Genomic DNA, 14,095 nt, shown 5'->3' on the forward strand with positions numbered 1-14,095 from the left:
AAGATGTGACTTGCTCCTCCTTGCCTTCCACCATGATTGTGAGGCCTCCCCAGCCATGTGGAACTGTAAGTCCAGTAAAACTCTTTCTTTTTTAAATTGCCCAGTCTTGGGTATGTCTTTATCAGCAGTGTGAAAACGAACTAATACATAAGGATACAATAAGAAGTCAGCAGTCTGCAACCTGGAGGAGGGCTCTCACCAGAACCTCACCATGCTGGCACCCTGATATTGGATTTCTCACCTCCAGGACTGTGAGAAATAAATTTCTGTTGTTTATATGTCACTAAATCTATGGTACTTTGTTAGAGCAGCTCAAACTGACTAAGACAATCCTCTTTATTGCTCCATCCTTTTTCCCCTTTTGCTCTGTTTTATTTATCAATGTGAACCTATTATTAATATCTTCTCTTCCTCTGCCTCATCCTTCTATTCACTCTCTTTTTCCTTATTCTTCTTCTTCTTTTTTTTTTTTTTTTTTTTTTTTTGAGGCAGGGTCTCATTCTGTCACCCAGGCTGGAGTGCAGTGGCACAATCTTGGCTCACCACACCCTCGACCTCCAGGGCTCAAGTGATCTCTCAACCTCAGCTAATTTTTGTATGTTTTGTAGAGATGAAATTTCACCATGTTGCTCACGCTGGTCTCAAACTCCTGAGCTCAAGTGATCCACTCACCTCAGCCTCCCACAGTGCTGGGATTACTTCTTCAAGTGTTTTATTACTTTAGATGAGCTCAAATGTAATATCTCAAGTGGTGGCAATCATATTTAAGCTACACAGAAGCAATTTGATAAGGGGAATTCACCCCAACTCCACCAGCGGAGGCCCTCTGATTCCTCTGGAGACAGTGTAGAAACACCATGGCATCAGAGAGTAAGAAACTCAACAAGTGTCCAGCACAGGCCTGAGGAGAGACCTGGGTCTCAAGCACCACACTGCATTATCACTCATTAGATCTCCCTCCCAGGCTGGATGAAATAGCCGTCAACAGTTTTCATTTTTGACAATGAAATGATTCCAAATTTGCCAATCTTACAACAAATGTAATTGCTGAAAGACATCAGTATTGGGAAAGTAGAAGCCCTGGTCTTGGGATAGTAATCATCCAATCCTTGGCATAGGGAGATTCTCTCTGCTGAAAATGTCCAGGTTTCATTTACATCATTGTCTCCCTGCATCTGTTCATCTTGGAGCACCAACCTATTTGGGTTCTTGAAAGTCAGCAAGATCAAAGACCACTCACTGATCAGCTAGGTCATCCTGGAAGCCTCATGGTAGCCAGCAGGCAGGCCTGCAGGCAGTGTGGCCCCCTTCCCTTTTGTGTTCAGCATCCCAATGAGGATGTGTATAATTGCAACAATCTGGAGGCAGTAAAAATACTCAGGATTAAGCAAACTGTGCTAGGGATGGCCTGAGTTCACAGGTGGTCCCCAAAGAAGAGCAGATGGAGAGGTGTTTTGTGAACAAGAAATTTGACTGTTATGACAACTGCATAGCAGCATGAAAGTGTCTGACATGGTGTTAACAGACAAAATGATAATGACACATAATTAAATATCACTAAATTGTATGTAGGCATCAGGATCAAGATTGGAAGAATGGAGATGTGAAAACATAGGCAGTTGATTATTACATTCTGAGTGAAAATGTTTTAAAAACTTTAAATTTTGTATTACCCAGTTTTCACTATTATAATGCTACATGACAAATAACCCCCAGTCTCTTAATAGCTTATAACAACCAATGTTTATTTCTTGCCAACTGGTAGGCAGGTTGATGGTAGGCCAGATGTGGGTCAGCATGACTAGACTGTATCCAAGACTTTAAGTTAGATTCAGGTCTGCTCCATGTATCTTCCTTCTGAGACTGACTACAGAGACCAAAATGACCTGGGGCATAACTTTCTATTAGCAGACATCCCAAGATTAAGAGGGGCAAATGAAGACATGTGATATCTCTTAAGGTGTCATCCTGGAACTGGAGTGTGTCACTTCTGCTCACATTCCACTGGCCAAAGCCAGATATGACCAAGCCCATTATCAGTGGGATGAGGAAGAGTACTCCACTCAGGGAAATTGTTGAATTGCGTCCCCTAAACTTCACATGTTGAAGTCCTTACCCCTAGTACCTCATGATATGACCTTGTTTGGAGATAGAATCTTTACAGAGATAATCAACTTAAAAAGAGGTTATCAAAGTAGGCCCAATCCAACATGACTGGTGTCCTTATAAAATGAAGAAATTTGGACATAGAGACACAAAGCAAGAAAATGTGAAGACTTAAGGGGGAGATGGTCATTTACAAGTCAAAGAGAGAGGCCTGGATTCTCTTCTCACAGCCCTCAGGAGAAACCAACCCCATCAACATCTTGATCTCAGACTTCCAGCCTTTAAAGCTGTGAGAAAATAAATTTCTTTTGTTTAAGTCACTATAGCAAACTAATACTGAAGGTTGGCAAGAGCAGGAAGGGAAGGAAGAATTAAGGACAGATAACGCAATCTATGATGATGTTATTCTGCTAATCATTTTTAAAATTAACATAGTGGGCCAGGCGTGGTGGCTCACGCCTGTAATCCCAGCACTGCAGGAGGCTGAGGCAGGCAGATCACCTGAGGTCGGGAGTTTGAGACCAGGTTGACCAACATGGAGAAACCCCGTCTCTACTAAAAATACAAAATTAGCCGAGCGAGGTGGCGCATGCCTGTAATCCCAGCTACTCGGGAGGCTGAAACTCTGTCTCAATAAAAAATAAATAAATTTAACATAGTGAAGAATCCATGGAAAGTTCTTTTCTCATTAATAATAAGTCCATAACAATCACAACAGCAACAATTAATCAAATAAAACTCAAGCACTACTATATTCCAGGCAGTGTTCTAAGCTCTTTATATATAAAAATTTATTTAATACTTAAAATAGTGTCTATGAGGTAGAACTATTGTTATGTCCAACTTAAAAGCTGAAGAAGTTGAGACCCTGTTACTGGTAGTTAGGCATGAGTAGGGCAGGACAGGGCTCTCCGCCTACCACCCTCTGGAAATGTCAGGTGATGGTTTGGCAATTATCTCATTGCCTCTCTAAAAATGACAGTTCAGCAGCACCATTGACAGGCCATTTCCTGATGCTCCACACCTGTTAACATCAAAATGTCAATTGAATGCAGGCCCAGGGAGAAATAGCACTCGAATATAACATTTTCTTTTTTTCTTCTCAGCAAGGCAATGTACTTCTATAGAAGGGTGCACCCTCACAGATGGAGCAATGGTGAGCGCACACCTGGACAAGGGAGGGGAAGGGGTTCTTACTCCTGACGCACGTGGCACCTGCTGCCCTGTCCTTCCCCTATTGGCTGGGGTTAGACTGCACAGGCTAAACTAATTCCGATTGGCTAATTTAAAGAGAGTGATGGGGTGAGTGGTTTGGCAGGAAAAATGGTTATGGCAGAGCAGGAAATCAAAATGAGTCAGGATGGAGAATGAGTCAGGGAGAAGCAGGTAATCGGAATGAGTCAGAGTGGAGCAGGTGATTGGAATGATTCAGGGTGGGGCAGTTGATGAGAATGAGTCTGGGCAGAGCAGGTAATCGGAGTGAGTCAGGGTGGAGCAGGTGATCGAAAAAGGTTGCTTTATGAGGAAGTTAAGTTTAAAAGTAGAAGGCAAAGAACTGAACATACTGACATATTGAGTCTTTGAAGATAAATTTAGAACTCGTATCTAACAGCATGCATGTTAAGAGACAAAAACGGTGAAGTATGATCTTTTGGGGGCACATGCCACCAGAAAAGGAAAGAAAGCTTCAGAGGGACACGTGGGTAACTCCCTAAGCACTGCGGGTGCTCAATTCCCAAGGGTAAGAAAGCACTGGGCATGCGGAAAATTCACTCTAAGGGAGGGATCATGGGAAAGAGGCGAGACTAGGATCAAGGTTAAAGGCCCCTTTTTTGCTGTCTTCTTTTGCTCTCTTTTCTCTCTTTGACCTTCAGGTGCCTGCTTCAGTCTCTTTCAAGCAATTTTTCCTTTCTTTCCTGTTCTAAAGCCTTTTTAATAAACTTTCACTCCTGCTCTGAAACTTGGCTTGGTCTCTTTTTCTGCTTTATGCCCCTCAGTCGAATTCTTTCTTTGGAGGAGGCAAGGACTGAAGTTGCTGTGGACGCATATGGATTCACTGACAGTAATTTGGGGTAACTCAGATCTCTTTCACTGGTAAATGCCCAGAGAGGCTAAGCCATTTGTCAAAGCTCACACAGCACAGTGGCAGAGCAGGGATATATCCCAAAAGAGTTCCATTTGCAGAGCCTGAGCCCCTAATCATTATGCTGTACACCATCTCTCATACTCAATACTGTATTTTCTCCAATAGATTTGAATGATTGTCCACAACAGGCAGACAAGTTTTATTTCTTATAGTCTGCAATCTTATGTGATCTGGCCCCTGCAGACCTCCTTGGCCTCATCTCAAATCACTCTATTCTTCACTCCGGCATATTGACCTTTTTCTTGAACACGCCAGGCTTGTCCCTGCCTTTTCTTAAAGCCTTTGCATTTGCTGTTCCTTCTTCCTGGAATACCCTTCCCCCAGATCTTTGCTGGATGCATCTTTTTGTTATTCAAGTCTCAGCTTAAATGGGATATTCCCTAGAGAGGTCTTTTCCAACCACTTATCCAAGCAACTAACTACCATCCTAGCTACTCTTTATCTTATCTCGTTTCCTTTTTTTCCATGACTGTTATTAATATCTGGAATTCTTTTAAAATTTACTGTTTACTTGTTCATTTTCTATCTCCCTCCCTCTGGAATGTAAACCCCATGAAAGAAGAACTTTCTTGTTCATGACTAGTCTCAGTACATAGAGTGGTTGATGTCAGAGAATAAACATTTGTTGAGTAAATGAATAAAGTTCTCACTCTTTCATGACATTAAGTGAACTTTCCAGAAGTACCCAGTCTCCAAGCCTCCCCCTGTCTTCCAGACAGTACAAGGAAATCTGGAGATATATAATCCACATAGAGGCAGAAAGATGCTAGTGAAGCCAAATTTATTTCCAACAAGAAATAGTCTTTGAGTCTTAGTCATTGTGGTTGAAGGCAAGTGAGGTCATCCATTCCATTAAAGAAGAAAGATCAGATGGAAATAGTCATTCAAGATGCATAGAGAACAGATAGAGTAGAGCTTCCATAACTTTTGCTTCACAATGATTATTTACTGTATTGGATGAGGTTGGATAAACCTGAGCTTGTCTAGAGAAGATGCTACTTGAGTTATCTGTGTTTGGATTAGTTTTGGGCAGCCAAACCATCTGGAGAGGTTTAGGGCTCAGTCCCAAGGCTCTGATCTTTACTCGGCTGTAAACGCCTCATTGCCCTGCCACTTCTGCTTCATGGGCTGGAGGTCTGTCCTCTTGCAATCATGTGGGAAGAATTGGACTCTGAGTTGGTTTCTATTTTCTTATGAAACCATCCAGGGGAATGAACTGGGGGATAAATAACCAAATTTCTGAAATGCAGCTTTGACTACAATCCAGTGTCTGGGCTGACTCTGAAACAGCTCAGATTGTGTGTCCTGAGACTGTGCTGGCTGATGACCTGGCCACAAGCATTCCATCTCACATCCCAGGCATCTGAGCAACGCTGCTTTCCATGTGGGGAGGTAGAGGATTTGGTGGGTTAATTGAAACTAAAATGTCTGCAACTCTAGATCCTGCCTCTGTTTTGGAGTGACTTGTAAGGAAAGTCACCAGTGATTTATACATTCAGGGTATCTTTCCTCAAAGAACTCAAGATTTGTGGCAGAATTTGATAAATGTTGAGATTTGATCTTGATGGAAGACTAGAGATTGAAAATTGGAAGATGATCTGCTTTATACAGAGAACAAATGCATCCACTTTTTTTCTTTATTTTAGTTTATTAAGTTCTGGGATATGTATGCAGGATGTGCAGGTTTGTTACATAGATAAACATGTGCCATGGTGGTTTACTGCACTTATCAACCCATCACCTAGGTATTAAGCCCAGCATGCATTAGCTATTTTTCCCGAATTGTGTTCACTTTTTAAGATGGCCAGGATCAGGCATGGGGAAGGGAAGGTGAGAGTTTTGGTCCCCAGTCTTTGTCAGTGTGGAAAGCTCCCCTCTGGTAGAAGAGGCTTAGGAATCACGGACTGTTCCCCCAGCCTAGAGAAACTCACTCAAGATTTCTTAAGTCCAAAAAAGGAAATTTTGGATCAGGGTGAAATTTCTCATTCTGTAAGGAATGCTACTGACATTAGCAGGCAACCATCTCTCCATACCTACACTCATTTTTAAATCTTTAATGAAATTTCATGTGCTTAAAACTTTTTATTGAACTGCACATACAGAAAAGTGCACATATCAGAAGTGTACAGGTTGACTGGTTTTCACAAACTAAACACACATAATTGGCATCAGACCAAGAAACAGAATATTGTCACATCTCGGAAGTCTTGCTTACCCATGCTTCCACTTACTGTCCCTAATACTAACTACTATCCTGACATCTAACAGCATGGATTAATTTCACCTATTTTTACTTTGGCTTCTTTCATTCAATATTTTAGTCGTGAGATTCATCCATGTTGCTGTATATAGCAGTAATTTACTCATTGTCATTGCTATAGAGTATTCCATTGTGTGAATATACCACAATTTATTTATCCGTGCTACTATTGATGGACAGTTGGGTTATTTCCAGTCTGAGACTATTACAATCACAGTTCTGTAAATATCCAAGTACGCGTTTCTTGGTGCACACACATGTATGGAATATATGAGGAGTAGTATTGTTTGGTCATGCGATAAATGCGCGTTTAATTTTATAGGAAACTGCCAAACTGTTTTCCAAGGCAGTTGTACCATTTTATATTCCCGCCAGCAGTGGATGTGAGTTCCACTTGCTCCATATCACCACTAACACTTGGTATTGTCTATGTGTGTTCATTTTAGCAATTACTGTGGATACGTAGTGGAAACTAGACTCACTTTTTTATTCTACCTGTCTTTTACTCTTACTTTATCTGTCTCTATTTTTCTGTAAACTGTCCTTCTCTGCTTTCCACTCCACCTGGAGGAAACCATGGTTTCACCCCCACTTCCTAATAGTTTACATCATTGGTCCAGCTTAGATCAGCTCAGCCAGAAATAGACATTTCTTAGTGTCAATTCCAAAATGAGTGAAAGGGAATCTGATCCATTTGGGTTATGTTACAGATTGAATTGTGGACCCCCAAACCCCCGCAACCATATACTGAAGGCTTAACCTCCAATGTGACCTTTTTAAAGGTGGGTCCTTTTGGGTAGATGGGGTTTGTATTCTTATAAGAAGAGGAGGAGACACCTGAGAGCTCTTTCTCCACACACACATAGAGTAAAGCAATGTGAGGACATGGCAAGAAGGTGGAAGTCAACAAGCTAGGAAAGGAGGTCTTACCAGAAACCAATTATGATGGCATCTTGATCTGGGACTTCTAATATCCAGCACTGTGAGAAAATAAATTTCTGTTGTTTAAGCTGCCCAGCCTTAGTATTTTGTTGTGACAACCAGAGTAGATTAATACAGGTCAGGTGGTTGCACATGAGCCAGTCTGTTGCAGTGGGGGTGGGTCAAGGTCTACAAATATGACTCCTGGGAGAGTATACCTGGGACCAGGTAGGTGGCTGGTTCCTTAAGCAGGGGCCAGGAAAATATCCCAATGGTCATCTTTTATAGAAATCTTTAAAAGAGACTACCCCACTAAATGGCCCACGAGCTAATTCACGGACCTCGGTAATCAAAGGGACATTTTACTCAGTCGTTTAACCAGTATTTGTTAGACTTCACTGTGTGTTAGGCACCGTACTCAGTGCTCAAGATACTGCAAGATTGAGTCTGAAAAGCGTTTGCACTCAAGGAACAAAGGGTGGCTGGTGAGCAGATGTCTGATGTTTCAGAGTCATTATGTCAAGATAAATGTGTTCTGCCATCTGGTTACACTACCATTAATTGTATTTATTATTAGGCTTCCATATGATGATAAATAATGTACTTCAACTGAAATCTTAACCATTGCTTAATTTCTGCTGAATTAACAAATCTCTTCCTTTCTACTACTAATAATAATGGTTAAGATTTCTGTAAGGTGTTACTACATGGCAAGCATTGTTCTGATTGCTTTATATATACTGACTCATTTAATTTTCATAAAAGCTTAATATAGTAAGTACTTTTATTATTATCCCCATTTTATAGCTATGAACTTCAAATGTACCCTTATTGTTACTGCCAATCACACTATATTTTCTAATCCACTTACTTTCCTACACAATGACTTCACATCCTTTCCTGTCCCCTCAAACCTCCAATTCCACCCCCCTATGTCCTAACCTTTAGGTGATGACCTTGTTTCCAACTTCATAGTCCAAGAAGAACTTCCATGAACTCCCACCACTACATCTATCTACCCACCTGCCAGCATCTGCCTTCCTGCCTAATAGTGAGATGGATTATCTGTGCTCCTGTGGGAAGAAGTCTCTCCATTCATATAGGAATTCCCAATCATTTTCTTCTACTCAAGAACCTTATCCCAACCATTTGTCACTTTCTCCTCTATATCATTAACTTTTCACTAGCTTATGGATTATTTCCATTTATAAAAATATGCATATTAATCTGTTCTCATGCTGCTATGAAGAAATACCTGAGACTGGGTAATTTATAAAGAAAAGAGGTTTAGTTGACTCACAGTTCCGCATGGCTGGGGAGGCCTCAAGAAACTTACAATCATGGCAGAAGGCACCTCTTCACAGGGCAGCAGGAGAGAGAATGAGTGCTGAGTAAAGGGGGAAGCCTCTTATAAAGCCATCAAATCTCATGAGAACTCACTATCATGAGAACAGCATGGGGGATTCAATTATAATAAATGCCATCATATAATATATATAATTATAATATATGCCATCGTAATTGATTTTTGGTAAGACCTCCTTTCCTGGCTTGTTGACTGCCACCTTCTTGCCATGTCCTTGCATTGCTTTCCTCTGTGTGTGTGTGTGGAGAAAGAGCTCTCAGGTGTCTCCTCCTCTTCTTATAAGAATACCAACCCCATCTACCCCCATGATTCCATTATCTCTACCTGGTGCCACCTTTGACACATGGGGATTATTACAATTCAAGGTGAGATTTGGGTGGGGACACAACCAAATCATATCATATGCTGTTGTTCTTCCACATTAAAAAAAAATCCTTCAACTATATTTTCTTCGTTTCCCTTTGCAGCAGAATTTGAAAGATTTTTCTAAACTCACAGTATCAAACTCCTCTGCTCCCATTCTCTCTCATGACCACTCCAGTCAGGATGTTGCCCCTACCACTGAACTAAAAGTGTGCTTGTTGAGGAAAACAACAACCTCCATGTTGCTAAATACAATCCTTTGTTCTCCATCCTCTATGAGACTTGACCCATTGGCAGCATTGGCACAGCTGATAATTCCTTCCCACCCTCTTGATATCATTTCTATATGTGGATTCCAGGCCTTTCACTCTTCTGGTTTCTTCCTATCTCTCTGCTTGCTCTTTTTCATCCTGCCTTGCTGGTTCTGCCTCTTCTCTCTCACCTTTGAACATGGAGTGCCTTAGGGATCCATCTTTGGTCCTTTCTTCTCTCTACATTCATGCTCTTGGTGATCTCATGCAATCTCATAGGCTCTGAAAACCACCTATACATCAACATCTCACTAGTTTATGTATCCAAACCAAACCGCCAACCATCTCTCTCCCAAACTTTAGAGGTATGTATAACACATGTCTTATCAACTTCTCCACTTGGATATCTAATAGACATCTTAGACATAACATGTATGAGACTGATTTCTGAGGCCATGGCAGTAATATATGGTCACAACCATCTTGTGACTATGAGGAGAGCTGGCATGAAGTCAATGTCAACATGTTGAAAATGGCAGAGTAGAAGATGAAAGAGTCAGTGTTCTTGAAGACACATTTGAGCCACTCTAATAACCAACCTAATGGCTGTTCTAATTCTGGGCTTCTTGGTTTTTGAGATCACAAATTCTTTTTCATTTGGGTTTTCTGTTACTCGTGGTTACAGTCAGCCTAGTTATATAGCACAAACTGGAGGACAATCTAATGGAGAAATCAATATTTTTCCCTGATTGTCTTCTTTAGTCTGTTTGCCCATGAAGAGACTAGAGACAATGAAAATAATGGGAACATTTTAAAAAATTATCTGTAGGAAAAATTATCTGTTTCCCTTTCCCCATCAAGAGGCTAGAGATAATGAAAATAATGGTGGGGACATTTAAAAAATTATCTGTAGGAAGCACCCTGAGATTTCCTAGGGAGATTTTTTTTTTCTTGAGGAAAGATATCTTTTCCTTTATTTCCTTTACTAACACAATGCTGCCACTTAATGGGATGAGTTCGTGTCAAGGGTGTGGCTAGCATAGTGGGTGTGTAATGCGACTGGTGTAATTCTGGAGTGGGAATTTCATATATGAATAAATATTTATTCCAAACTCAATTTTCAAATACTCCCATTCTGTAGAGTGAGTGAGTACACAAGGAGTTCTAAGTATCAAAGTTAGGGTTAAGTTCTGAGGATGGAGGGCAGTGGTATGATTCAGGAAAATGGTATAACCACTAGCTTTGGGACTAGACATTGCTGAGGGACTATAATATGAAAAATAGTTCAAGACAGCAATACCTGGACACTGTTACAACTTTCCTGGAAGGCAGTTTGGCAATGTGTATTAAAGTCATTAACAATAATCACATCTTTTAACTCAATAATTTCACTTTATTGGAATCTAGAACAAGGAAATAATCCTAATGAGGTTCCCTACATCATACCTACCCCGGTCTCTTTGCTTCCACTTCTCTGTGATGCTAAGTTGAGCTGTTCTAGGCTAATTTGACAGCACATGTTACCACAGTAGACTGAAGACGAACAGTAAGAGGGCCTCAGGAAGGTGATAGGAAGAAAATCCATTTCTTATTTGAATCCACATTTTGTTTTCTTGGGAAAACATGATTGTTTGCTGTGATGAAGTGTGCTTTCCATCAGGTAGCTCAGAGGAACCTGGCTGGAACTCTTATCACTGGAAAGGCTGAACTAGACTGTGAACATTCTCTTCTGCAGGATTACAAGACCAGAACCCTCCCAACCTCACTTTGGGATCTTTGATTCCTGGGCCATAGCAACTTCTATTAATATCTGACAAATCTGAGGCAGCAGGGTCTGGAAGACACAAGAAGAGACTGAGGGCTGGGTACGTGTAACAGACAGGATGCCTTTCTTTTCCAAGCCACCTCCCCAGTCATGCTGCTTGATGGCTCCAGGGGCTTTCCATTGTCTTCTGTGCAGCTTCCTCACATCTTAAATGGAATATTTATGTGGCCAGATAGTTTCCTACCTCACCCTCTCTGTTTTTCCTCAACTTCCTGGAAAAGTGTGGGAAGTTCTTGCCACTTACTTTAGGTCCATATACAACATTGCAGTTTATCACAAGCTTCAAGGAGATTTGGAGCTTTCGAGTCTCTCCTTCCATGTCACTTTCTATTCCCTGCCTGGGATTCCCTCCAGTAGGATGACATAACATTAGAGATTGGCATTGACTGGGGTGAGTGTTGAATTAAAGACACACAGGTAGACACATCTGGGAGACCAAGAAACCTTAGCTCAGGAGACACAAAGAATGAAAAAGAACTCTTGTTGACTCAAGAAGGAGGAACTCTTAACACATTAGGAAGGGCATCTTTCCCCACCAGTTCCCAAAGAAGAAGGTATGTGGAAGACACTGGACGTCTGTGCACTGGACAGAGCCTCCAAAGCAGCCCACTCACCCTCCGTACAGCATTCTCCAGAGTCATCTATGTGGTAAAGCAGCCAGCATTTAGGCCATCACAAAGCTGTGCTGGTCAGGACTGCACACCCCCACAAAGGTCGCAGGCTTCTGCTGGAAAGTGACAGGCTTCCTTCCTTCCCTGCCCTGGCCAGCTTCCCATCTGCCACAGAACCCACAACCTGGGATATACACAACATCCCCAGGATTTCCCCCTAGGATGTTCTACCCCACAGATTTAACACATATATATCCTCTGAAGGACTGCCAGTGAGTGCTGAAAAATAGGGTTTGAAGAAATGCATTGTGGAGCTGCAATAAATTGCCTCCACAATTGGAGACTGATTCAGGAAAAGAGAAGACACTCAGAAAAGAACTAGTGTAAATTAATATAAGTGGAGGACAGTGTCCTCTTCAGAAGCCGTCAGAAGGATGTAGGGTGTAGCCTTACCAATTTAGCAACTTTTAGTTGGAAAGAATAAAGTGTGTGAAAGTGCCTGAGTAGTGTCTGGCACATCATAGGTGCTCAATAAATGCTAGCACTTTGGATCTCTTATTCTAGTCCAAAATGCATCTGAGGTGTAAATTATTTTGGGCTTGTCTGATAGGATCTTCTTTTGTTATAATGAACATAAATGTATTTCCCTGCAGCTTCCTCTTATTATATCTATTTCTGGAGCTTTGACAGAATAAACCTTATCTCCTTTCACCATGACACACTTTAAAATATTTGAAGGCAGAAGTTTTGTTTCCCAAATGTTCTCTTCAAGACAAAATTCCTCAAGGCCTTCAACCATTCTGCTTATGACCTGCTTTTGAGGGCTTCATCAGCTTATTGACTCCTGAATACACTTGTGTTTGTCACTGTTCTCCTGAAAGGTGACCATGAATTGGCCACTATCCTGGAGGAAAGGGAGAGTTAAACAGCATAGACAAAGCAGGCCTACCACATTTTCTCATCGTCATTCATGCAAGCTGGTATCAAATTAACTTCCTTGTCTAGTTTTTCAGAAACAATGTTACTATGATAATTTGCGCTATCTTACTATCTATGAAAATCTCTGCAGATTTTTAAACTATTTTTTTGCTATCCATAAGTGGAGATTGCATATTGTTCACCAAAAGCTGCTCTCCCTTCTTCCATAGTAGTTGGATACATGGCTGGCCAGCTAGAAATTACATTTCCCAGCCTTCCTTGCAGCCAGATGTGGTCATATGACTACACTCTTGCTGGTTGAACATAAGTGAAAATGACACATGAAATTTCAAGTTTAGTCCTTTAAATATAGCCTGTGTACTCCTCCACGTGCTTTTCCTTTTTCAAAGGGTATAACCTGAACAGGCCTCTAACCAGGCTCCAAACACACAGATGAAGACAATATACTAGGGGTTGGTAGAACCACAAGATAAAGGAGATTAAAGCTCTGACTGGTCACTGGAGTGGAGCATTGGCCAACCAGGATGTTCCACACTGAGATTTGTATTAATCAGCTAATGCTATAATAAGTTTGTGTAACAAAAACTTCAAATCTCAATGACATACAAAACCCACAATTTATCCTCATGCTGATGGGTCTGCCGGTCAGCTGCAGTTTGGCTAATCAGGCTGGGTTCTGCTGGTGTCTCTCCAGGTTCTGCTCCAGTCTTTTCTCTCTGGGCCAATAGCTGCAGAGGGCAGAGTCTTCTTTTGGCAGATCATTGGAGTCAAAGAGGATGAGCAAATGTATGATATCTGCTAGTGAACAGCTTATAGATTTTATTTTCTGCAGTCCTCTAGCACCTTATTACTTGCCATTGGTCCTTAAAAATTATTAAATGTGGTTTAGCAGTCTCATTTTTCAGTCTTCTCAGGAGTCTGGGACATACTTCAGAAGACATTACTCATTTTAGAGGATCCATGGATCTGTTGTAATTTCTTCACCAATTTAGATCTTAGTCTCTCAGTATCCCAATTACAGAGTCATAAGAAAGAATCTTGTTGGGCCAGCCCAGTGAATAGATTAATTTCTACCTAGGCCAGGTATTTACTCTGGTCCAATCATCTGTGGCCAAGAAAATACGGTCCTGAGGGCTGGGCGTGGTGGCTCACGCCTGTAATCCCAGCACTTTGGGAGGCTGAGGTGGGCAGATCACGAGGTCAGGAGATCAAGACCATCCTGGCTAACATGGTGAAACCCCGTCTCTACTAAAAATACAAAAAAATTAGCCGGGCATGGTGGTGGGTGCCTGTAGTCCCAGCTACTT

General features: G+C 41.4%; 2 annotated features.

Annotated features, from left to right (window-relative positions):
* Positions 2,682-3,881: an enhancer, noted in NCBI's record as "P300/CBP strongly-dependent group 1 enhancer chr3:16142361-16143560 (GRCh37/hg19 assembly coordinates)". NCBI's record gives its function as "activates an origin of replication core promoter dependent on BRD2, BRD4, P300/CBP, MED14 and CDK7 cofactors, with strong dependence on P300/CBP, by STARR-seq in HCT116 cells {active_cell/tissue: HCT116}" and the evidence as "EXISTENCE:reporter gene assay evidence [ECO:0000049][PMID:35650434]".
* Positions 3,350-3,644: an enhancer, noted in NCBI's record as "tiled region #11264; HepG2 Activating DNase matched - State 9:DNaseU, and K562 Activating non-DNase unmatched - State 24:Quies". NCBI's record gives its function as "activates a minimal TATA promoter and a strong SV40 promoter by Sharpr-MPRA in HepG2 cells, with weaker activation in K562 cells {active_cell/tissue: HepG2 | K562}" and the evidence as "EXISTENCE:reporter gene assay evidence [ECO:0000049][PMID:27701403]".

Source organism: Homo sapiens, chromosome 3 (genome assembly GCF_000001405.40).
Source record: "Homo sapiens chromosome 3, GRCh38.p14 Primary Assembly".
Taxonomy (NCBI): Eukaryota; Metazoa; Chordata; class Mammalia; order Primates; family Hominidae; genus Homo; species Homo sapiens.